At 36.6% G+C, this 26,002-nt stretch overlaps 2 protein-coding genes and 1 long non-coding RNA gene across 5 annotated transcripts in view, besides 2 other annotated features; 1 reads left to right on the forward strand and 2 right to left on the reverse strand.

Annotated features, from left to right (window-relative positions):
• Positions 1–16,559, forward strand: part of TICAM2-AS1 (TICAM2 antisense RNA 1) — an 18,265-nt gene extending 1,706 nt beyond the window's left edge. Inside the window, exons 3-4 of one of the 2 annotated variants that reach the window (NR_109874.1) lie at positions 15,279–15,339; positions 16,208–16,559. This is a non-coding gene — a long non-coding RNA (TICAM2 antisense RNA 1). The remainder of the gene's footprint in view (positions 1–15,278; positions 15,340–16,207) is intronic. The other variant, NR_109875.1, reaches the window with a different exon arrangement.
• Positions 1–22,176, reverse strand: part of TMED7-TICAM2 (TMED7-TICAM2 readthrough) — a 47,541-nt gene extending 25,365 nt beyond the window's left edge. For both annotated transcript variants that reach the window (NM_001164468.4, NM_001164469.4), the window contains exons 1-3: positions 21,741–22,176; positions 16,575–16,820; positions 12,458–12,585 (exon numbers count right to left, since the gene is read on the reverse strand). In NM_001164468.4, coding sequence (NP_001157940.1) covers positions 12,458–12,585; positions 16,575–16,820; positions 21,741–21,932 — 566 coding nt within the window. In that variant the 5' untranslated portion in view covers positions 21,933–22,176. The remainder of the gene's footprint in view (positions 1–12,457; positions 12,586–16,574; positions 16,821–21,740) is intronic.
• On the reverse strand, positions 9,350–22,176 carry TMED7 (transmembrane p24 trafficking protein 7). Its single transcript, NM_181836.6, has 3 exons — positions 21,741–22,176; positions 16,575–16,820; positions 9,350–12,585 (listed from the first exon to the last, which is right to left on the reverse strand). The coding sequence occupies exons 1-3, from the start codon at positions 21,930–21,932 to the stop codon at positions 12,349–12,351; spliced, it is 675 nt and encodes a 224-aa protein (NP_861974.1). The 5' UTR covers positions 21,933–22,176; the 3' UTR covers positions 9,350–12,348.
• Positions 21,832–21,901: a silencer, noted in NCBI's record as "silent region_16254". NCBI's record gives its function as "represses an Ori minimal core promoter by ATAC-STARR-seq in GM12878 lymphoblastoid cells {active_cell/tissue: GM12878}" and the evidence as "EXISTENCE:reporter gene assay evidence [ECO:0000049][PMID:35858748]".
• Positions 22,072–22,241: an enhancer, noted in NCBI's record as "active region_22936". NCBI's record gives its function as "activates an Ori minimal core promoter by ATAC-STARR-seq in GM12878 lymphoblastoid cells {active_cell/tissue: GM12878}" and the evidence as "EXISTENCE:reporter gene assay evidence [ECO:0000049][PMID:35858748]".

Below are 26,002 nucleotides of genomic sequence, written 5' to 3' on the forward strand. Positions count from 1 at the left end.
AATCAGAGCTTTTCACATTTTCCCACTGAAATACCACCAATGACAGATTCCATAAACACGTACTTCCCTATTCATCACTTAGGTTGCATACATAAAAGAGCCTGAAGTCACTAGTGTCATGGGCAAATTTACTTGAACTGTTCCATCTTCTTGTAAATTGCTCCAAATTTTGCATTGTTCTTCATAATACAGTCACATGTACTAAAAAAAATCTTAAATTGGTTACAAGTTTAATTGCTTAACATTTTCTCTCCAAATGTTCAAGAAAATGCATCAATCACTTACGCCACATATGTTTAGAATATATTCTATGTGCTAGACATTAGGGATATTGTGCGAACAGGAGACACAGTCCTAGTTCTCATGGAGATTTTATAGTCTAATCTGGGAGACAGACAGATATGTAAAGAAGTGAGACAATTTCAGATCCGTGCATTGCTAATGGGGACAGCGAATCTTCCTAGTGGGCAATTTCTAGCTACATACCTGGTTATTCACATTCAAGAAAGGAGGGGACGACATGACAAACTGATAAATATACTGACTTACAGGCAGTGTCTAATGGATTGTCCAGCTTTTAGGTTCTTGGAAAGAACAAAATGGAAAATTTGTAAAAGATCTGTCCGTGAGACTTACAGATAACCCTCTTGGAGTGGTGAGGGCATGTGAAGATATTCATATCCCCCATAAGTGCCTAACAGGATGCATCAGGTGGAGAAGATTTTCAATAATAAGCGGAACAAGATGAATTGTCTGGTAGATGTCAGTCTTTTTCTCCAGCCAACCCAGGGCTTGGTTAATGGGCCCATGTACCAAGTGGCTATCAAAGCAGTGACAGAGGTTCAATAGTATGGTCTTCTCCTTACCTACATTATTTGGCTACTATCATTGCCGAATGCCCAACCTGGCAACAACGTGGAGTGTGACTACATTTCCAAGGCTGGGTTCCTAATATGGCATTACTGTCAATGAGACTTGCTGGCAACCCGGTAACATGATGGTTACATTGGGCAATTTCCATAAGAAATAGGTAGCACTTTGTCTTCACAAAGATAATTCACATTCAAGGTATAAATCTGCATTCTCTGCCTGCAGTGTTTCCACTGGCACTAATATTCTTGACATTTCTGAAGGTTTTATCCATTGCATAGGAATCCCAAAAACATTTCTTCCAACCAGGTACACAGTTTATGGCAATGGAAGTGAATTCAATGGTTTTAACACATGCTTATCTCCTAAAGTAACTAGCTTGATAGAACAGCTGAGTGGCAAAATGAGAGCTCGGTTACAGAGATATCTGGGAGGCAACATCATGAAAAGGTAGGGTGGTGTCCTATAGAATGTGGTACATTAATTTAATAAGCAGTCAATATATGGAGCTGTCTCCCCACTATCAGGATGCACAGGTCTCAGAGCCAAAGGGTAGAAGGAGTGTTTCTGTTCAATAGTATACCTAAGAATCTACGTGAATAATTTTTGCTTCCCATTCCCAAAATGTTGGGCTTGGTGGGTTTAGAAATTCTAGAGTCCAAGAGTAGAACACTTCCTTCAGGAAAAATAATCATGTTTTGATGATTTAGGAGCCGAGACTGGCCCTGGCCTTTTGAGGTTCCTCATGCCATTAAAGTAACAGAAAAGCAGCTCAATGGACTGGCCAGGGTAGCTAATTCCAGTTATCAGAGGAAAACTGTGTTTCTGTTTTACAATGGAAACAAGAAGGCTATATAGGCTATATATGGAAACGAGGAAATTCACTGGAATGCCTCTTAGTGCTAACAGTCCTAGTCAGTGGAAAACTGCAGCAACCCAGTAAAGACAGGCCTATCAACGGCTCAATTCTGTAGAAATGAAGGTTTAGGTCACTTCATTAGACAAAGAATCCCATCTAGTCAAAATCCTGGAGGAAGGTAAGAAGAAGGATTACTAAGCTTGATTATGGTACTTTATTCCCCCAGAAATAAAACCAAAAGATGGTTTACTAGGACGTTCAAAATCAATAAACTTCTAGCCAGATAAGTCAAGAAAAAAGAGAGCAGATGCAAATTACCAATATTAGAAATGAGAGAGGGACATGACATTCCAGTTATTAAAAGGTTACTAAGGAAAGATTATGAACAACTTTATGCCAGCAAATTCAACAATTTATATGAAATGGAAAAAATCCTTAAAAGCCAAACAGTCAAGATGAAACAGATTATTTTAAAAGCCCTAAATCTATCAAAGAAATTAAGGTGTAGTGAAAAATGTTCCGAAAAAGAAAACTTCATGTCCAGGTGACTTCAATGGTGAACTCTACCAAAACATTTAAGGAAGAAATGATACCAATCCTACACATACTCTTCAAAAAAATTCAAAAGGAGGGAATACTTCTGAAATCATTCTATTAAGCCAGCATTAGTATCATACTAATCAGACAAAAGACATTACAAAAACAGAAAACTAAAGACCAACATCGCTCATGGATATAGATGTAAGATTCTAAACAAAATTTGAACAAATCAATGATGGTTGAGAATTTTCCAGAACTGATGTATCAACCCACAGATCTAAGATGCCAAACAAAGCCTAAGTGGGAAAATACAATAAAATCCTCACGTATATACAACACAATGAAACTCAAAAAAAAAAAATTATAATTACAAAGAGAAAATCGTGAAAGCAGCCAGAGGAAAAAAAAATGGATTAGTCTAAATGGAGCAAAAGACTGACAGGTGACTTCTTCCCAGTAACAGTGGAAGTCAGAATACAAGGGAAAGTTATCTTTACCTTTCCAGATAACCATCCATTTCAAGGGAGAAAAAAAAAGTCCTTCAAAAAGAAGGCAAAATAACGACATTTCAAAAAACAAGAGCAAAGTAAATGTGCCACCAGGTGACCTGCACTAAAGTAAATTCTAAACATATACTCAGGCAAAAGAAAAATTACTCCAGATGGAAGCTCAAAGACACAGCAAGGAATGGAGAGTAAGAAAGGTGGCAAATTTGTGGGTAAATCTAAGTCAATATTAACTATATAAAACAACAGTAATAACTTACATTTAAAGAGATACAACATATGTGACAACCACATATATAAGCTGGGAGGAAAGTAAATGGGATTAAAGTGTTCTAAGGCTACTGCACTGCGCAGAAGTCTGGGCGAGTTTAGGCGTTGATAAGTCAGAGATGCATAATGAAATTTCTAGAACAACCATGAACAGAAATATATACAACATCCCATCTGATAGGTAGAAGAAAAAAAGGAGTAACAAAAACAAAACTATCAAAAAAAAAGTAGAAAAAAAGGAACATAGAACAGATAGGACACATACTAATAGTAACAACAATATGATATAAACGAGACACCTCTAAAAACTAAATATACACAAAGACTGAAAGTAAAACTGTGGAAAATGATATACGACACAAGTGCTAGCCAAACGAAAGCTGGTATAGCTACATTAATATCAAATAAAATTAATTTTAAGGCAAAATTTATTAGTGGAAATAAAGATAATTTTGTAATGATAAAGCTTCTTTCAATTAACCTGGAAAATATAACAATTATACATTTGTATCCCAATACAAAATAGAAAAAGAGAGAAATTGAAAGAATCACACAAACACATCTAAAATCATGCTAGCTACATTTTAACACAATTCTCTTAGTAATCAAGAGATATATACCAAAAACAAAAAAATCATCACTAAGGATACTGAAGACTTGAAAATTAATGAACATGACTAAAATGATTAATGAACATAAATAACTGTAGAACTCTTTTCAAGCATCCTAAAATTTATAAAAACCAGCCACTTATTATGTCATAAAGCAACTGTTAACACATTTCAAAGAATTTAAATCATATAGAGAATATATCATCTGATCACAATTCAATTATGTTAAAAATCAACAATAAAGGAAAACTTAAATATTCATGTTTGGAAATTATAGTTCCAAATAGTATCTATGGATCAAAGTAGTAATGATAATGAAATAAAAAACTTTGCAGTTAGTGAATAACTAAAATGCTAGATATTGAGACTTGTAGAATGGAGTTAGTAGTAGGCAGAATTCTAAGATGGTTCCTGAAATCCTTTCCAAGCCCCATATCCATACCTTTGTGTGGACAACGCCTGTTACATTTAGTAAGAGAATATGGCAAAAGTGAAAGGATTTTGCAGATGCAATTAAGGTGCCTATTTAGTTGACTCTGACTTAATCAAAAGGGAGACTATCCCAGGTGACTCTGACCTAACCAAGTGAACTCTTTCTGGCCTTCTCTGAAACAGATTCTAGTCAGAAGTTCTGCTGACCTTAAAAAGGCATGTCACGTTACACTGCTTATATAAAAGAGCAGCCCTAAGTAGCTGAGGACCTCAGTTCTACAGCTTCAAGGAACTAAGTTTTATCAACAATCTGATTAATTTAGAAGAGAACTGTGAGCTCCAGATGACAATGCAGTTCAGCTGACTTCACTGCAGCCTTGTGAGACCCTAAACAGAGGACCCAGTTAAGCCATGCTGAAACTCTTAACCCCAAGAAATTGTGAGATAATAAAATTATGCTGTTATAAACCAGTAAACCTGTGGTAATTTGTTACCCAGCATAGAAAACTAACGCAAGAGATAAAGTAGCATTATCATGGAAATCTATAGCTTTAAATATGTAAATCAGAATAGAAAGTTGAAAATTTGAAGAGCTAACCATCCACTACAATAATATGACATATTAACATAGAAAAGAAAAAGCTGAAATCAACAAAATAGAGAAAATATAACAAAGAAGAAAAACAAAAATATTGGCTTCTTTGTAAAGCAAAAACAATAAATATGATAAACCTCTAGCAAGACTAGTCAAGGAAAAAAGATACAAACAATCTCAGATGCAATATAAGCAATACAAAGGGTACCATCCTTACAGATCTGGCACATGTTAAGTGTACAGGAAAAACACAGTGCTAACAAATTTGAAAGTGTAGACGTAATGGAAAGATACATAGGAATATGCAATCTACCAATATTACACAACAGAAAAGCTGAACCTTATTAATAAAAAGAAATTGAATCAGCATCCCATAAAGAAGACACCAGGCCCCAAACACACTTCACCTATGATTTCTAATAAACATTCAAGGAAGAAGTAATGTAAATGTTATATACAAGCTCTCCCAGAAAACAAGAAAAGAAAGCCAGTTTCCAAATCACTTTATAAGGCTAAAACAGCCTTGATATTAAGCAAAAATCTTAAAACAAATCCAGCTATTAAAAGCAGTCAAACCACATCGTGGCCAGGTTTTTTTTACCCTAGGAAGAGAAGGTTGGCTTAATAATAGGAATCCAGTTCATGTAACTGACTACATTCAGAGAATAAAGGCAGAAAAATCATGATTTTTCTCAATAGAGCTTTTTGAAAATTCAAAATTTTATATCATTTATGATTATAAAAAACTCTTAGCAAATAAGAATAGGTGGGAAATTTCTAAATTTAATAAAAGTATCATAAAATGCTTAGAGAATACTTTGAAAGCATTCCCAGAGAACAGGAACAAAACAAGAATGCCTACACATGACCTATTCAACATTATACTGGAGGTCCCTGCAAATTTAATTAGGCAAGAAAAAGAAAAGGACAATAGAAAGACAAATTTGTCATTACTTATAGAAAGTCCAAAAGAATCTACAGATAAATTACTAAACTTTAAAAAAGATTTTTGCAAGGTTGAATAGAAAAATCAATTTAAAAAGTATCCCCACATACGAACAAAAAATTAAAAACTTAAAAGATATCATTTATGATAGCATCAAAAACAAAAAGATATAAGATTAACAAAATATATGTATGCAGTATTTCTATGAAGAAAATTTTAAGACTTTATTCAAAGATACAATGGAAAGACAACATTAACTCACCAAAAAATGCACTACTATAAAGAATTTGTTCACAGATACAATACAATCCCAATCAAAATCCTAACAATTTTGTTTTGTTGAAATTCTAAAATTTGTATAAAAGTGCAAAGAACTGATCACAGCCAAAATCTTGAAGAACAAGGTATAAAAAGACTTATTTTACCAAATATCAAGACTTTTAAAAGCTTTAGTAGTTAAGACAGTGTGTTACTGATATATGGGCAAATTGATCAATGGAATAAAAGAGAGCCCAGAAATAGACTCATGTAAATATGAGCATTTCACAGATGACAGAAATGGCATGTTCAACCAAATGAGAAAGATGACTTTTCAAGAAACAAGGGAAAAAAAAAGAACCTGGATACCTACCTCACCCACAAAACAAAATTCAATTTGAGTGGAAGACAAAACTACACATATTTTAGAACACAGTACAGAAGATATTCATGACCTAAGGAGAGGGAAGTATTTTTTAAATAAGACACAAAAACACCAAAAAATAGAGAAAAAGATGGATACATTTCACTAGGAGCAGAACGATAAATAACTGTGAGAAGATATTTGAAATAGTTATTACCAAATGATTAAGTAGTCTCAGTATATGAAGGAATTTTATTAACCAAAAAGTCAATAAAATTTTTAAAAATGGGCAAATGATTTAAACAGCAACTTTGCAAAAAGGGGAAATCCAAATGGTAAATAAATTTGTAGAAAAAATAATTAACCTCATGGAAATGCAAATTAAGCAACGAGGTACCATTACAAGCCTAGATTTTCCAAAGTTTTAGTCTAACAATACCAAATGTGGAACCTTTTAATGCTGCTGGTGAAAGCACTAATTACTTTGGAAAAGTTAGGTATTACCTAGTTAATTTGAAGATATACATATCCTATGACCCACCAATTCCATTGCTGGATGTATTCTCAAGAGATCATACACATGTACAACCTGACATATATACACAAGAATGTTCATAATGGCTTTGTTCAAAATAGCAAAAAAGGTAGAATGATCCAAATGCCTTCATGGAAGAAATACATAGTGGTGGTATGTTAATAATAAACACAGTAACAAAAACTATAGCCATATGCATCATCAGGGATGGCACTAAATGTTCAGCAAGTCACAAAAAAAGTGACATTTCTATTTATTAAATAGAATTTAATACTTTATTAAATTTTATTAATGTTTACTTCTACCTGTTTAGACTATTTTTAAGGAATGTAGACATCAGTACTACTCGAAGTGTGGTCCCATATTGATCCCATATTGATCAACTGTCATTGGCTGATGGAGAGATAAGCACATAAAGTGAGCAAACATGCATAAACATTTAGAAATGCTGATAGTAAACTGACAGTGCCAATGCATTCAAGTACATGATTTTGTATTTACAAAAGTATCATTTTATGATGGTTTAGAAATTATGTTTTAAAAAGTGTGACAACCAGTATACTTAATTGGTAAAAATACAAAGAAAAGATTATTTGCATTACAAGCAGAATATTGGTTCTCTCTCTTGGGGTGATTCAGGAAACTGACCAGGAAAGGATACATAGGAGCTTACTAAGGTATTGGCAATGTACATTTCTTAACCTGAGCATTGGGTATATGAGTATCTGTTTTATAACTTTATTTCTCATTAAATTGTACATGCTGAATGCTCTCTTCTATATGATAGATTTCACAAATGTAAAAGTGTAAAAATTTGTTATAGACAGTACAATACCAATTTCTTTAAACAATACACAAATATCTATAAAAATAACTGAAATACACCAAAACGAATGATGAAATTCTGGGTAGACTTTGTTCTTTGAACCATTCATTATTAATCAAATTCTTATGCTGTTGCCTTTTCAAAATAGTAGTGATCATTAGGAATCATCCAGCACTAAAAACAGAGTATGCCAGACCAGTGTCACTTTTGTATCTAAATTTCAGCAAGGAAGCTGATTCCTAATGATAAAAATAGGATAACATCCTTGTATTTTCCTCCAGAATTTGGAAACTCCTGAGATGGAGAAGTTACTCAGGAGATCAAACATCACCTTTATTGTTAGCAAAATTAAAGAATATGTCTTTCAATCTGTAGCAACAGGGACTGGTTAATACCCATATCCCTAAACTGGAGATTAAACCACTCAATTACTGGCATAGTCACATAACCAGGGCTTCTGCTGTGGGGAGATGATGTAAAACTCCCTAAGAAATAAGTCTTTGGACCTATATATTCTCTTCTTCCTCTAGCACCCTGTAAATATCTTAGACCCTTAGAGTCCACTCTGCTTCATTACCTGTGTAACATTAGTTGCTCATACAGCTATCCTATCTACACCATCTAGGTTATGTTCCTGGAGGTGAGACTACTGTCTTATTCATTTTTTTTTTTTTTTGAGACCGAGTCCCGCTCTGTTGCCCAGGCTGGACTGCAGTGGTGCAGTCTCGGCTCACTGCAACCTCTGCCTCCCGGGTTCAAGTGATTCTCCTGTCTCAGCCTCCCGAGTAGCTGAGATTACAGGAATGCGCCACCATGCCCCACTATTTTTTGTATTTTTAGTAGAGACAGGGTTTCACCATGTTGGCCAGGCTGGTCTTGAATGCCGGACCTCAGGTGATCTGCCCGCCTTGACCTCTAACAGTGCTGGGATTACAGGCATGAGCCACCGTGCCCAGCCAGTCTTATTCATTTTCGAAATTTCTAGCAGACTATTATGTGCATGACAGACATTCAAACACTATCATATTTGTGTCATGTATTGTTCATGTAAGAGCCACATGAATAGAAACCATAGTAAGGACTTTAGGAACTAAAGAAAGATCAAGAGACCAGAATTAGACTAATGATAAAAATATAATTACTAAGTGCTTGTATATGCTAGGCACTGATCCTCAGTGTTTAATAAACATCTCATTTCATTCTCATTATACCAGATGGCATCACCTTAGCAGCAGATGGAAAACAGAAATATATAGTTAATAAAATCCAAAGTCACACAACCATGACTTGAACTTGGCTGTGACTCCAAAGCCAAAGCACTGAACTGCTACTGAGCTGTAGTGAAATCAAGATAGCTAAGCCTTCAGAGATCTATCCTTAATTGGTTTTTTGTAAGGCAATATTGCATAGTGCTTGAGAAAGAGGGCTCTGGAGCCAGACTGCTATGGTTCATATTCAAACTCTGCTAATATACTGTGTGATATGAGATTTCTTAACCCCTCTATTCCTCAGTTTCCTCATCTGTAAAATGGAAATAATACCTTTATTTCATAGAATCATTGCAAAGATTAAATGTGTCAATACAAATACTCAGCACAGCACCTAGCACAAGGTAGGCATTCAATAAATGTTAACCTATATTTATAGTTATTTCCCTGTTGTTTTTGGAGAATTATGCCCAGGAACCAGACTGTCCCCTCTGACTACATTATTAAGAAAAACACTGATACAACTGGGTAATATACAAACTAAAGGTAATTTACTTAAAAATTAAGACCTCTTTAGAGCAACTGATGATTTAACTGCTTTTCACCTACACAAACTTTCAGTAAGGAATGCAAAGAGAAGGTTACAAATTAGGCAGTACAGACGTGGTATTTCTCTTTCACCTTCTTTCTTGGACAGTCCCTCAGATATTTTAATAAAATACCAAATAAATAATCACTCTCATTACAGAACTGTACTCTAGGCTTTAAGTTTATAAGGAGCTTTAGAAAGATTTAAATCCTGACAGAAACAAGTAAAGTCAGTTTGTTGAAAGATTTTTTTTTATTCTACAAGAAATTGATAGGTGCAATCCTGTTAAAGAAATTTCTTTTCAAAAGTAAATGAAAAACCCCTCTGAATTATTTATATATTAATTTTTTGAAAACAATAGTCATAGGGCCTGCTTTGTCCTATTTAACTATAAATGTTACACATTTACAAACTGAAACAAAAATGCATAGTACAGAGATTTAAATGAAATCTTCGAAAGAATAAATTTGCTTTTCAGTCCACTGTATTTTCAAAATTGATTATCACCAAGCTTGGATGAAAGCTGTGAACCACAAACCATTTGTTTATTTAATAGAAAAAAGAATGTGTAGATTATTAGCAAAGTAATGCCTTAAAATGTATCTTCACACAGTTGAAATTTTAGTATAAACTTGTATATCAAGTTGCTTTCCATTATTTATTCTACTTTAAAAATATATACAACTATGATGTTCAAATATGTATTCTGAGCCATTATGTTCAAACATAAATATCTGGGAAATTCAAACTGCTGCAACAAGTTAGGAAAGGATTAAGGAAAAATGATGAGCTACAAATTATGTAGTTGGAGGAAGAAAAAAATGTTACTTAGCATTTATGTCTGGATAGGTATGTATTTTCTAATTTACATACACATATCCAGTTGAGTATAGACAACCATCAAAATGTAACCAGTTACACAGAGACTAGACTAAGCCAACACTATTTTCTATAACAGGTAACAGTAGTGATTTCAAAAATTTTAATATCTCAATAGTTTCACCAAAAATTATTTGTGGTAATATGCTAATATTCTGAAGTTTTGAGAGGCACAGATTAAATGAGTGCACTATCTATGCCAAACTCAGCAAGTCTATAACTTACTGTTTAATTATGGTGTAAGTATCTGAACACAATAGCATAGAGAGGCAACCAGAAAAGGACATTTTACATATGCCCATGCTGATCAATCACATTAACATCAGTGCTTACAACTTTCAAATTTAAATATAAAGGGACACTTGCAAAGCCGCAAGACAACTTCAGTACAAAAACCCAAATTGATAAATCTGCAAAATCTTAAACTTCTTAATCCATTGATAAATATTAAGGAGTAGCTGGTCTTCAAACACCGTAAAAAGTTAAAGGGTTGAAAACATGTTCACCCTTTGCTATACGGTGGCATCTGAAATTATCAGGCATGACAACTTGAATTTGTTTTGCTCTTCCATGCAAGAAGTATATATATGCATTTTAAGATAGCTTAGAATTAAGAGTTAACTTCTAGTCAGTATTGGTAAGTGACTAGGATGGCTATCCAATCAGTATTCTATGGTATCACATACCAAAGTCTCTACAATATGACAGTCTTGTCTTGTTCAGAACTCATCACTTTTGGGTAGGGAAGAGAGGCACGGCAGAAAAGCAGTTGCAATTAAAAAAAAAAAAAACAGCAGAAAAGCTTTAAATATCTATATAATTTTGAATCATCTTGTATTCTATCAGATAATACTTGGAACAAAATCTTATTTCAATCAGCTCAATCTATACAAGTTATAAGATGCAACACAATGTAAACCCTATAGTCTACAGAATATGCACTATTTAATACTCATTAACTAAAGAAAAGTCAATGAAGATTACCAAATAGGAAACACAAAGCATTCTAAATTTTTAAATCACTTTAGGGTAGCTAACCAGAAACTACAGAAATAAAATATGCACGACAAAAAAAAGAAAAAAGGAGAGCAACTAACTTTTCAGTGCATCACATCCATGAGGATAAAATGTATGGCACTTATGTGTGAGACTAATACTAACAATTGTTAATTTAAGCTGGGAATGACTCACAGACATTAAAGTCATATAAGGGCAAGAGCTAGCCAATTAAAATTTTAAAATTAAACATATCACCTTTTTTCCTTGTAAAAGCACTGAAAATGTAATGAGTACGTGTAACTCACTAAAAATTTTCCTATTTCATTTGCCCCCATTGTAGTGTCTTAAATTATTCTGTAATATTTCTACCTGTTACAAAGTCTGATATTTAAGGCCTGTATAAACTCTTTTACACTACTGAAACTACTGTTTTCTGTGTACTACAAATGCCTTTATGAAAAAATAGCATAGCTGGTTTAAATTATAAACCCCAAAAACAAAAGTCTGACATTTTCTAAGCTAGTGAGAAATCAATTTTACCATGATATATCAATATTAACTAACATTCCTATGGTAGATTTATTTTTCCTCCATAAAACTGAACAGTGCAGAATAGGGCTTGGGCTACAGTTCATCACATTTGGTTTTCTTATTAACAATTAAAAGGCAATTTTCTTCCTCCCTAACACATGTAGACATTAAATCTAAAGTTTTTAAAATATCAACTACCTATAAGAAAAGTAGTCTTAAATGGTTAAAAGGAATCAAAATACCAAAGTTTAGTGTGCGAAGAGTAGATATAAACAACTGCGAACAGAGTAGATCATTGGTGTTGAATATTTAACATGAATAGCCCAAAATGAGTTCCAAAGTTTTTCCACCTTTACAAATAAAAAAAGGTGTCCTTTCCACAGTTTGGGAATATGCATTGTACATCCCTCCCAACAAGTGTATGAGTAAGGATTTAAAAATGTTGCCAATATTAAGTTCTTCAGTACCTAAAATTAATTAGAGGACAGCAATATTACAGTGGCAATGGTGCATCAATTCTCAAAACGTAGTTATGATCCAACACGAGTTGTGGTGGTTCTTTTATCTGAGAAAAAGCTTTTCAAAAGAAATACCTGCCCTATGCTAACCACCAGAAGAATGAGGGCTTCTCCTACTGACCAATAGGCCACTCTTGTATTTAGATCCTCTGCTCGGCTTCGGCCTTGAGCTTCTCTTAAACGGAAATGAGTCTGATAATCGATGACAGACTTCAGAGCTTCGTGAATTGAAACACAGGCAGATTCCATCTGCAGAGAAATATTTTCAGTCAGTATGTGTGATACTTTCTGTAGACTTCATCTATCATATTCAGCTTTTCTTTCAATTTGATCTCAATTCCTCTTTTGACTAACATGCTACTAATCTGGCATTCATTCATACATTTATGCCAGTTGTCTTTGCAATGAAACCCCCCTGCTCATTTTCACTGGGACAACTGTTAAGGCTAGAGATCTCATGAAGCAGCTGTTTTCCCCAACTGAGATGTCACAGCCATGGCATCAGTAAGGGGGCAGATGGAACACTAAGCTAACAATAGCAGAAATACTTATCAGCTAAGGTTGGTGACTACAGAATTTCCAGCCCAAGTTCTTTAAAGAAGAATTAGGAAGAAAATGGCAGTGAGCTCACCAATGAGAATATAAGTCAAAGCCCAAATATCTATAAAAATAAACAAAGCACAGTACAAAAAAAAGCTGAATTAGTCAAAGTTCTTTGAACTATGTTTAAAACAGCCACAACATCAAAATCGTTAGTAACTTTTAAATCTGAAAGGGATCTATCAGAATAGGAATGACTTTGTTTTTTTACATTTATCTATTTGTTAAATCAGCCTTTTCCCTCATGCCAGTCAACTAAACCAATATGTATGTTCCCAACAGGATGCAAGTTTCAGTTTCACTGTGTAATCAATTTGTGAGCCTTTAGCTGATAACAGCTTGCCTTTTTATACATTTATTATACCATCTGTTTTGAGAAAGGTTAAATGACTAGTTTTTTTGTATACCATGGTTTAATATTTTTCTACTGCTGCAAACTTAATCCTAGTGGTAAAATATATGTTTTATTATTATTTTATGCAACAAGCCTGTATTAAGAGTTTTAAAAACAAATCTAAGTTTGTTTTAATTTTAGTTAAGGAATATAGAAATTAGAAAATAATGTTTAATGAAGTTCTGCCAAAGTAAGTATGAAAGGAATAATTATTAAAATATTCTATTAAAAGTGCTTTTAAAAAATGTAAGAAATTATGAGGCCAACAAACTGCATTAACCTATTAGAAGAGTCAAATATTTTTGTTGTCCTTGCTTTGTTCAGGCCCCTAGGAATGAAAAATTTGCAAAACTGTGCTAAAATGATTCCTAATTTGTGATGAGGAGCTAGAGAGAGATGTGCTTCTAGGATTTGCTTTCTCTATATTCTCAAAATGGCATATTGCCCAAGGATTCTTCACCTGGAAAGTACACATAAAGGCAAGGAGTTGACCCAAATGCAGAATATTTAGGAACTCCTTCAAGCCTGTCCATGGGGTATGGGTTAAGAACTACTGGATTAGAGAAAATCACAGAAATTAAATTACATGCATTCTACAACTTTTGAGATGTGACTTTTTTTGAGATGGAGTCTCGCTCTGTCACCCAGGCTGGAGTGCAATGGCGCAATCTTGGCTCACTGCAACTTCCACCTCCTAGGTTCAAGTGATTCTCCTGCCTCAGCCTCCTGAGTAGCTGGGATTACAGGTGCACTCCACCACATCCAGCTAATTTTTGTATTTTTAGTAGAAACAGGGTTTTACCATGTTGGTCAGGCTGGTCTCTAACTACTGACCTCATGATCCGCCCGCCTCGGCCTCCCAAAGTGCTGGGATTACAGGCGTAAGCCACCACGCCTGGCCTGAGATGTGATTTTTAAAAAACTTTTACAGTGAAAACTTCCATATATATTCAAAAGTATTGAGAAAAGTACAATGAACCCCCACCATGTCAACAAAGATTAACACATGGCTAATCTTGCTTCATCTACATTCCCCGATTATTTTTAAAGCAAATCTCAGATATTTTATCACTTCAGCTACAAATACTTTTATACTTTATTTCTAAAAGATAACACTTTTTAAAAACATAACCCCAATAGTATTATAACACATGAAATAATCTAAAACAGTTCCTTAAAGTCAGGAAATAGTGTTCAAATTTCCCCTATTGTTTCAAAGTTGGTTTTCAAGTAAGAATCCAAGTAAGGTTAACACAATCATTTGGCTGATGTAAGTGTTCATTAATCTTTAGGCTTTCTTCCTTGTTTTTCCTTTTTTCCTTGCCATCAACCCCTATCCTGTGGCATTTCCCACGTCCTGGATTTTGTTGATTGCATTCCCATGTTATTCCTTTATCCTCTGTATTTCTTGTAAACTGGCATTTGGAGCTAGAGACTTGATGGAATTCAGGTGCAATGTTCTGGGTGGGAACGTCTAGTAGTCAATGTTGTGTACTTCTTACTGCATATTATGATAAGGCACATAATGTCTAGTTATCTCTCCATTTGTGAATGATCATTCAGTCTGATCCACTCAGTATAAAGTTCCCCATCAGCCTTTTACTTAATGGTTTTAGTAGTGACTGCTGATCATTGCCTACTCTAAATCCATCATTTTATCAACAGGTAAAAAATGGTGAGAGTAAAACTTTTATCATTTATTCTGCATTACTAGCTGGTAATTTTGTTCTGAACTTACTAGCTGGTAATTTTGTTCTGAACTTACTAGCTGGTAATTTTCAATTTTAAAGTATGAAAAGTTGCTTTATAATGATCCCTATTATATGATACATTATCTTTTTGAAAGTAGAAAAATAAGACTGAGAAAAATAAAAAATGTAGCATGGATAAAGACGGGTATGATACTAACTGCTTTATTACCATTCATTTCTTATATTTACCCACTTAGGTTTTTAGAACAAGCCACCTTATACAAGTTAAAATTCATGAAGGAATGGATACAGGTTAAGGTAATGGCCCCAAAGAAATATCATTTTACAAAGCAAGGTGTCCTTCACACAAGACCTTAAAATAAAGAGAACATTTCTAAAATTAAGAGTATTTGAATATATCTTGCTAATTCTAACAACAGGTTTATGAATTAAGGCTTTTACACATTCTTAAAGCTGTTTCTTTCACCATGACTTTGGCCAAGAGACTAAATAGAACCTGGGAACACTAAAATACCAGTTTAAGATGTTAACGAATAAGTGGTAAATAATTCTTTTTCATGCCTAATTGAGTAACTTTTAGATACGATCTAAGCCCATACAGGTTGAGTATCCCTTATCCAAAATGTTTGGGACCAGAAGTGCTTTGAATTTCAGATTTTTTCTGATTTTGGAATGTCTACATATACATAATGAGATATCTTTGTGATGGAACCCAGGTCTAGACATGAAATTCATTTATGTTTCATATATGCCTTATACATGCAGCCTTAAGGCAACTGTATATGATATTTTCAATGATGTGTCATGAGATCAGATGTAACAATCTTCCACTTGTGTCATCAGGTTGGAGCTAAAAAAAAGTTTTGGATTTTGAAGCATTTTGGATTTTGCTGTATTTGAACTAGAAATAAAACAGTCCTCATCACCTAAGCAATAGTTGTTCACTGGGTTTAAATTTTTTACGCTTTCTCTATGTCTCCAAAATAAATCTGAATTTAGCTTTTGTAACTATTTTTGTGAGATGACTTACCATTAATCTTCAATATTTCACCTAAAGTTACAGCACAAGTTACTGTTACAGCAGCTTGAGTAACACTAAGTAATGGTATAAAGGCTATGATATGGTATTATTTATCTACTAATTTAGGCATCATTTTGCTTCCAGTTACACCAGCCTCCTGAGTATGACAGCAACATTCCTTCAGGGATTAAAGAAAATGCTTCAGAAGATTGGAACACTGCTCAGCCTTCCCAACCTTCTTTTACCACTGATGTTTCTACCTTAGTGATCTTCCTCCTTATTTTAATGCTTCTTTCTCTTTACAATTAAAAGTTCATAAAATCTTTCAACATTATTTTTCACTACAAAAGTCTGAAGTTCTCTGTGAAATGCCTACATGTAAGAATTAAGATAGATTTTAAAGACTGTCAGTCTCAAAATTCCATGCTCATCAGTTAGTGCATGATATTAAATTATGCTTTTTTCCTCCTTTTAAATATACCAACATTATATTGCTGATTTTTTTATTTACCTGGGTAAGAGCACTGACTCGGTTCTCACTAGGAAACAAAGGTGGGTCTTCTCCAACTTGAAAATCAAAATATACAGTTTTATGTGTGAAAGTAGAAAATTCATTGCTGAAGCAAAATTTGTATGTCCCATTTTTGGAGGCTGTGAAGGTAAAACTATCATACTGTTTCTTCATCTCTTTGTATAACACTTTACCATCAGGATCTTCTAATCGACAATCTACATCATAGTGACCACCAGTAATCACCTGTAAGAGATTAAAAAAGAAAAATCACTGTGAAAAGTGTGAAAAATTAATCAGATTTAATCAGATTTCCTATTAAAATGGCAATAAGGTGATGGGCAAAGGACTTTTACTATCTTTTTAAATTTTCACCAGTGGATGGAACTTGGGAGATTTTACTTCAACTAAACTTTACAGAAACTGAACAAGTATTCTCCAACTTTTATTCACTTTGAACTAGCCAGACAACTGTGCTAATTAATGGAGATCTATTAGATCACTTAATTCTCCCAGCAACCCTACAATATACTTTTTTCCTTCCATTTGACAGACTGAAAAACTGATGTTAAATAAGCGAACTATTCAAGACTGTTCATCTAAATTAAGTGGGAAAGGCAGAACTTGAACTCCAAAGTCATATTCTTAACCTCTAAGCTTACTGCCTGCAATATTTTCCTTCTGAAAATTTTCTAACCCACTTTCCTATTAGCATCATCCAAGCACACACACAGTGAAGTAACAAGGTAGGCCAATCCTTAGGATTACACCCCATTCATACTTCTATCATAGAACTTAAGCTCATTTTACTGCCAAATTACAAATAGATTACATTTATTAAGTTCTTTTATAGTCAGTTATATGGAATTTGATATACATTTTGTTTTGAACTACACTATAAGTTGAGTAACGGAGTGGGCTATTCTAAAAGTATATAATCATTTACAACCTTGTTTTGAGGAGAGACACGTAACTGATTAAATAAAATATTGTTGAAACTCTTGTGATTAAAGCAAAAACAAAATAACATGAAGGACAACAAGTCTGTTTATCTAGAAAGCCAGTACTTAATGGCAAACATACTGAATGGAAGCCTGGAGGTAGGTGATATGAGTCTGAACAGAACTGTGGAACTACTTTCCACGGCTTATGCTTAATCAGTTACAATTCCAGCCATTTGGGTTGTACAGAGGAGGGAGAGATTTTTCCTGCGGTAACTGGATAAGTATTGTAAGAGACAAAAGGGGGAAAGGATTAAAGAGAAAGGCTTCCTTACATGAGAAAGAACTGAGTAGGAAGAAAGAGGGAGTGCAGAGAGGTGAACAGAGTGAACGTATACACATTGGGTTGAATGAAGGGTTCCCAAACCACCATGTGATTGGGGAGCACAAGATTGTTATTTTCAACCTTGAACTCTCTTGGTTAGCATCCTGACATTCTAGGTCAAACTTTGGATTTAAAAGAAGGATCTGTGTGACCTTTTCTCACTTGAGAGAAGATGACTAATGAACTATGTTACATATCATTTTGATAATCTAATGAAAATAATTATGCACTTATGAAACTGTAAAAATATGTAAATGTTAATATACAGATAAAATGTTTTGATATAAAAGTGTCTTATCAATTGGGGATTTACCAATCCCCATCCTCACCAAAAAGTCAGTAACTTTTTCTCCAGGTGAAAATAACTTCATTTTGCTATACTGAATTATACGTATTTGACCATTGTATTCTGAATAATCAAACACATACATACAAACCGAATAGCACCAGAACTTATCATCACCCCACTTCTCTTCCATCAAACTTAAAACAAGTAATCTCACTTAACAGTATCCCTTTAAACCTGTCCAATCACCTACTATTGAAACTGAGGATCATCCCAAACTAACTGTCCCTATCTATCCATATGATCACACAAATCTCTCAATCTTTTTGCCCCTCTCAAATTCATCGCATTCCGAAACCACAATCCAGACAGGACTATTGCCACAACTTCCTAAAAGGTCTTCCCACTACCCAATATCTTCTCCCTCGAACTCAGGGTTTCTCAACCTCGCATTATTCCCATTTTGAACTGAATAATTCTGTGTTGTAGGAGGCTGTATGGTCCTGTGCACTGTGACACGTTAAACAGCATACCTGGTCTCTAACTACTAGATGCAGGTAGCTGCCCTTCTCCTAAAATGATGCCGAATGTCTCCTGGGAAGAAGGGGTGCCCATCTCCCCATCTTTCCTCATTCCCCATTGAGCAATCACTTAAAAACTTTTTGATAATTACCTGTGGCCTGCAGACAAATCTAAACCTCTTAACAATGGTATACTATTCACATGTTCTTCCTCCCAGGTAGCTTCAGAACCTCTTTTATTCACACCCTTACTCGTTCTATGTTCCTAAAATACCAGACTACCAGAAATTCTCTGAACAAGTCTTTGCTTTACATCTGCACTGACAGTGCAGTTCAACAGGGTTTGCTAAAGAATCACACGGATCAAAATGACAGTGTTTGCAAATCTACAGTTTATTACTGTAGGTTATGTTATAAATCTACAGTTTATAACATTATACGACTATATATGTCTATGTAAGCTCTCTGAGGTCAGAGTCAGTCTCTGGGAGGTAGTATAATAAAGTGGCTAAGAATTTAACTTGGGACTGAAAAGAGCCCCAAAAGGAAAAGAATATAAAACATTACAGCCAAAGGCTGCCTCACAGCAAGAGATCTGAAAAGGTCAGGTGTGGGCTCCTTCGGCTTCCCTTTGTTAGGTGTGTGGCCAGACATATACTCTCTCAGATCTGGAACCACCCAAGTGTGCAAAGAAAACACCCTGGAACCAAGCAACCCAAAATAGAGTCCTGATTGCATTTTTAAATATTTTGCTGGTCACATAGGCATATTCCTGCTACGCAGCTAGTCTCAACAACAGAGCTCTGGGTTGGGGGTGTGGTCTCATGAAGACCAGGAGCAAATCATCAATCTCATTGTTACCAATAAATAATGTTGACAAACTGGTACAAACTGCCCCCAAAGCCCTTGGACTCACAGTCACAAAGCTATTATAATAGCTTCATATTAAAGCTAATAATAATAGTTTTGTGACTATTAATAAATATAACTATAGTCACAAAACTATTATTATTCAGTGTATTTTCAATGCCATGCACAAATGTTAGCAATATAGCTCAGGCTAATTTCAGGCCTGCTGGAACTGTCATGAACATATCTGCCTGGGGCCCCTTCTTCTCTCCTCTGCCGCCTTGTAGAGCAACGGCTACTTATCTTGCAGACTCACCTCTAACATCAGCTCCTCAGCTAAATGTCCCCTGATGATCCTTCTGTCTCCTGCCAGCACTATACCTAGTGTGTACCTTTATTGTCACATTTAACATTTTATGACTATATATGTCTGTGTAAGCTCTCTGAGATCAAAGTCAGTCTCTGGGAGGTAGTATAATAAAGTGGTTAAGAATTTAACTTGGGACTGCGTTACTGATTTAGCTACTTCTACGTTTTATGCCCTTGGTTCTTAGCCTATCTAAACCTCAGTTTCATCAGTAAAAAAGGAGTAAGAGCTATAACAATTTCATATCGGGCTTTCCTGAGAACATACCTGAAATGCTTAACATACTGTCTACACATAACAGATGCTAATTTGTTAGCCATTGTAGTAGTATCCTTAGCACTAATCACTGAGTCTGCATACACAAAAATCCAGGAAATGTTTATTAAATTCAAACAAAGAAAATGTCGGCTTATACTTTTTATCACAATTCCTGCTATCTTCTTTTCTGTCCCCTGGTGCTAATCCATGAAGGTAAGTAAGCCTAAGGGTCATCCTTGGCCTCCCCTCCCTGACCCACTATAGCCAAATCATTACCAAGTCCTGTTGATTCTACCTACTACCTTCTCTCCAATCCTTTCACTTTTCATTTACCCCACTGCTATCACTCTACTCTAAGCCACTATCATTTCTTGTCTAGACCACCATAATAACCTCCTAATCAGCCTTCCACATCCGCTCTGCAACATCTTACCATCACTTCTCTACCTGCACAAGTTATTATTAATGCAGCTACCAAGAATATTCTCGTCATATCACTGAACTGCTTATAACCCTCTGATGGCTTCCTACACTTTCAGGAAAAACAAATCCTTAACATGGTCAGCAAGACACTATCTGGCCTGCCCCTGCTGACCCCCTTGCTCTGGCTCCTTATTCCCAACCATATTGGACCTCTCTCTATGGCCCTGAAATTCTCAGTGTTCACTACTACCACAGGCTATTCCCCCTCCTCCCTTACCAAGGTGTTTATAGCTCATCCTTTAAAGTTCAGCTTAAAATAATTTTCCAAAGGAAGTCTTCCTTCATGGATCCTACTTACTGCTCTTAAGGCACAGTTCTGATGAATGAGCAGATACCAGTTAAGAAAAGCAGGGTGAGAGGGGAATCATGAATGATGGCAGTGACCCTATCTGTTTCGACCACTTCTGTACCACTGGCACCTAGTATTCAATAGCTACTCAAATGTTAAATGCGCCTACCAACCAAAATTGAAGCTCAGTAAAGACTGTTCTAACCAACCGAATAAACCACATTCTGTTAAAGTTTCTTTTTTATATAATCCCAAATATCAGAAGGGGCCTCTCATTTATCACAGCAATTCTTTCTACAACTCCCTTGGCAAATGGCCGTTCAACCTGTAATGGAGCTCTTCCAATGACAAGGACCGTATTAACCAACAGTCCTAATATTGGTAAAACTGAAAAGCAATGAAGTTAGACATTGGCAGCACTCCAAATCCAATTAAATTGGAGGTGTGGATTAGAGAGTAGAGGGTTGACACTGGGTACTACAGAGTATAAATGATTTTCTTTAAGGGAATCTTTTAAGGAAGAAAGTTCAATAGGCCTTAAAAATGAGATGGAAAGAAATGCTAAAGGGAGCATTTCTGGAATTCATATATTTTAACACCCGGTCTTAACATCTCTCACCCAAGGTTTATTAGAGGAAAGTCAAATGCTGGGCATCAGCTACCTAGAAGCGATTTTTGAATTAGCCTAAGAACGGGGAAACACGGACAGGAAAGTGCCATCCCTCAAGTTACACCCCCAATCCTGGAGCCGCGAGTTGGGGCCCAGGGACTGCTAGGCCCCTGATACCTGGAACTCCAGGGTGCACTTGGTGCCCTGAGCGATGTCCTCGTAGAAGCACTGCTTGGCGTTGTCAGGAAGCTCGAAGGTGATCTCAGAGGCGCCGCCGGGTCCAGGCACCAGTAGCAGCAGTGCGAGCAGCCTGCACCCCCAACGGCCCGCGACGGCCGCCCAGCGCTGCGCGGACCCCGGCCGCGGCATCCCGAGAAGGCGGCGGCGGCCTCAACCGAGCTGCGAGACGCAGGGTCAGGTCTGCGCGGACTCACCGCGCGCGGCAGGCCTCAGCGCAGGCCACCCCGCAAAGATACACAGCAGAGCAGGTTCACGCCTGTGGGAGATTCGGGATCAGAGCGACCCTCCGGCTTCCTGTGAGGGGCGCAGACGGGCGGACCTGGGGAGGTAAAAGAGAAGCGGAAAAGGCCTGAGAGGGTCGGAAGTGGGGATTAGCCTTTCGGGGGGTGAAGGGGCGGAGCCTGAGACACCGGCTCCCGTGACCCGGATGCGTTCTTCTCCGGGAACACGCGTTGGAGTGCGTACGTGGAAGCCCGCGAGGCGTTGGCTCTGCCTCCGTTGCAGCCTGGGACGAGGGGCGGGGCCAGAGTCGTGGGCGGAGAGGGGCGAGACCAGGAAACGGGGCGTGGCGGCCGCCGTGGTTACAGGCGGTTGGCGAGGGTAATTACGCTCCAATCACTGGCTTTTTTTGTTGTTTTTTTTTTTTTTTTTTTGAGACAAGAGTCTCGCCCTGTCACCCAGGCTGGAGTGCAGTGGCGCGATCTGCGCTCACTGCAACCTCCGCTGGGAACTTAGCGCTGGGGAGCATCTAGGGAGTGGTAAAGGGCTCATTTTGCCCTAGGGTGCTAATCGTTGGTGGTAGAGCGCTTTGCAATTTGCGGAGTTTTCTCATAAGTAATAATAAATATTTGGGGGAAGCAGCTGGGCAAGGAGCGCGAATTCTAAGAGCAGACTGCAGGAGTGCTTAATCCCTGCTTTGCCACGTACTGGCTGTGTGACGTCCGGCCACTTGCTTAAATTCTCTGCCTCAGTGTGTATCTGTAGAATGGAGATAATAGCACCTACCATAGAGAATTATTACAAAGTACCAATATTTGGAAAAAGTACCTAGAAGTGGTTGGTACATAGCAAGCACTAGATGAACTTTTGTTAAATTAAACGTCACAGTGCAATCAATACATTACATACCACAAGATAGGCAAAAATTTTAAGTGTAACAATAACAGATATTGGTCGACTTATAGAGCCACAAAACCTCTTATACACTGCTAGTGAAAAAGTAAATTGGTTAATCAAGTTGGAAAACAATGTGCCATTATCTAATAAAGTAGAATATATGTATACACACACAGAACACACACACCTATATACAGTGTGTGTGTGTGTGTGTGTATATATGTATATATATATATATATATATAGCCTGGAATATGTAGCCACAGCCTGGAAATTCCATTTTACATATATTTATGGAGTATATGCTTTAGAGCAGTGGTTCTCAAGTGTTGCTCTGAAGTCCCCAGAAGCCTCCTGAAACCCTTTCAGAGGGTATGTAATGATCTGTATGAAGCTGGATTTTCATTATATATTTCAACCAAAACAGCATAACAGATTGAATATCAAAGGAAATGAGCACCCAGCTTCTTCCTTAAATCTAGATATGAAAGATTTACAAAAATAAGGTCACTCTTCTTGCTAAATTTTTATTTCGAAAATATTTTTATTAAAAGATGTGTTATTTATGTAAATGTGTGCAGTGAGTTGAATTGTGTCCCCCTAAAAAATACATGTCCAAGTTTCAACCCCTCCACCCCTGTGAATATGATTTTATTTGGAAATAGGGCTTTTGCAGATGTAATTAAGTTAAGGCCCTCAAGATGAGGTCATCCTGGGACTTAGGGTGGGCCCTAAATCTAAAGACTGTTATCCTTATGGTATGGTTTGGCTGTGTCTCCACCCAAATATCATCTTGAATTGTAGTTCCCATAATCCCCACATGTCACGGAAGGGACCCGGTGGGAGGTAATTGAATCATGGAGGCAGATTTTTCCCATGCTGTTCTGGTGATAGTGAATAAGTCTCATGAGATCTGATGGTTTTATTGTAGTTCCCATAATCCCCATGTGTCATGGGAGGGACCTGGTGGGAGGTAACTGAATCATGGGGGCGGGTTCTTCCCATTCATTTATGTTTCCCATAAAGCAGTATTGTGTTTATAATGCATTATTTGTGTTTATAAACATATAATGCACGTATAATGCATTATTCATGTTTATAAACATTGTTCATGTTTTATAACAGGTAGTTAGCTACATGAGATCTCATGGTTTTATAAAGGGCAGTTCCCCTGAACACGCTCTCTTGCCTGCTGCCATGTAAGACGTGCTTTTGCTGTGCCTTCACCCTCCACCATGATTGTGAGGCCTCCCCAGCCATGTGGAACTATCAATTCATTTAACTTATTCTTTGTAAATTACCCTGTCTTGGGTATTTCTTCATAGCAGTATGAACATGGACTAACACACCTTATAAGAGGAGGGAAGATTTGAGATGCACAGACACAAAGATACAGGGGCAGGGTTGGGGGAGGGGAATGGCATACTGAAGACAAAGATACAGATTGGAATGAATGATATGTTCACAAGTCAAGGAACACCAAGGATTGCCCATCGCTATGGGAAACTAGGAGAATGGCTTGGAACACCTTCTCCTTCAGAGCTTCCAGAAGGTATCAACCTTGGCAATACCTTACTTGCAGACTTCTTGACTCTCCAGCTCTGAGAGAAAAAATTTCTGTTGTTTCAAGCCATCACATTTGTAGTAATTTGTGACGGGATCCTCAGGAAACTAATGCAATATGTAATGGGTTTATTGTTTATTTTAAATGAATTATCAAATATTTTTAAATATCTCAGATCTCAATAACCTTTATTGGACATTTTTTAATTTGAAAATTTTTATTTAATCTTTAATTTTTACGATTCTGAGGCCCAGCTGAGCATGGTGGCTCACGCCTGTAATCCTAGCACTTTAGGAGGCTGAGGTGGGAAGATTGCTTGAGCCCAGGCATTCAAGACCAGCCCGGGAAACATAGTGATACTTCCTCTATATAATAAGTTTTTAAAAATTAGCTGGGCATGGTGGCATATGCCTATAGTCCCAGCTACTTGGAAGTCTAAGGCAGGAGGATTGCCTGAGCCTAGGAGTTTGAGGCTGTAGTGAGCTATGATCATACCACTGCACTTCAGCCTCAGTGATAAAACCAGATCCTGTCTTTAAAAAAACAAAACAAAACAAAAAAAACCTCTGAGGCTAAAAAGTACGAGAATCACTACTTTCAAGAAGCTCATGCACAGGTATACCAGAATATGTATACAAGACTACTAAAATCCAAAGCCTGGTAACAGTCTCAACTGGAAATACCCCAGATATCTATAAATGTAGGTGTATGTAGGTATATTAAAAAAATGGGACATAACATAACAATGAGAGTGAACATTATTATACCTACACAGCACAACATTGGAGAATCTTACAAGCATGATGCAAAAGAAAGTGACAGAAAAAAATCAGCATATAAAGGCTGACAACAAGCAAAACTGAACAATCCCATTTTCCCTAATACATGGTAAAGCTATACAAAAAAGCAAGAGAATGATTATCTCAATAGTCAGGAGAGCAGGGAAGGATGGAGTAATAAGTGAGAGGCAACACAGGGTGGGGAAAGTGGGGGGCTTCCTTGGTGCTGGTGATGCTCTTTTTCTTGACATAGGTGGTGGTTACATGTATGGTCACTTTATATTTACTTATTATTATATGGTTTATGTACTTTTCTGCATGTATATTTCACAGCAAAAGAAGGAAAATTTAATATACTGGATGCATCAGTAGTTAGTCATTATTGTGAGAAAAACACATCAAAACTTGTAGCTTAAAACAATCTGCATTCATAGTTTACCGCACATTAGAGCCCAGGTCAGCTGAGTGGGTCTGGTCTCACCTGGGCTCACTCATCCTCAGAGGTCCACTGGGGATTGGACAGACAGCTTTGCTGATCTTGGCTGGCTTCATTCATATTTTGGCAGGACAACTGGCTATAGGCTGGTCTAGGATGGTGTTGGCTGGGAAAACTGAACTCTTCTCCATGTAGGAGTCTCTCATCCTCTAATGAGCTAGCCTGGGATTAGTCATATGATGATCCCAGGATTTCAGGAGAGAGAATGTGAAAGGCCCCTTGAGGGCTAGGCCCAGTACTAGGC

The sequence above is a fragment of the Homo sapiens genome, chromosome 5 (genome assembly GCF_000001405.40).
Source record: "Homo sapiens chromosome 5, GRCh38.p14 Primary Assembly".
In the NCBI taxonomy this organism is placed as follows: Eukaryota; Metazoa; Chordata; class Mammalia; order Primates; family Hominidae; genus Homo; species Homo sapiens.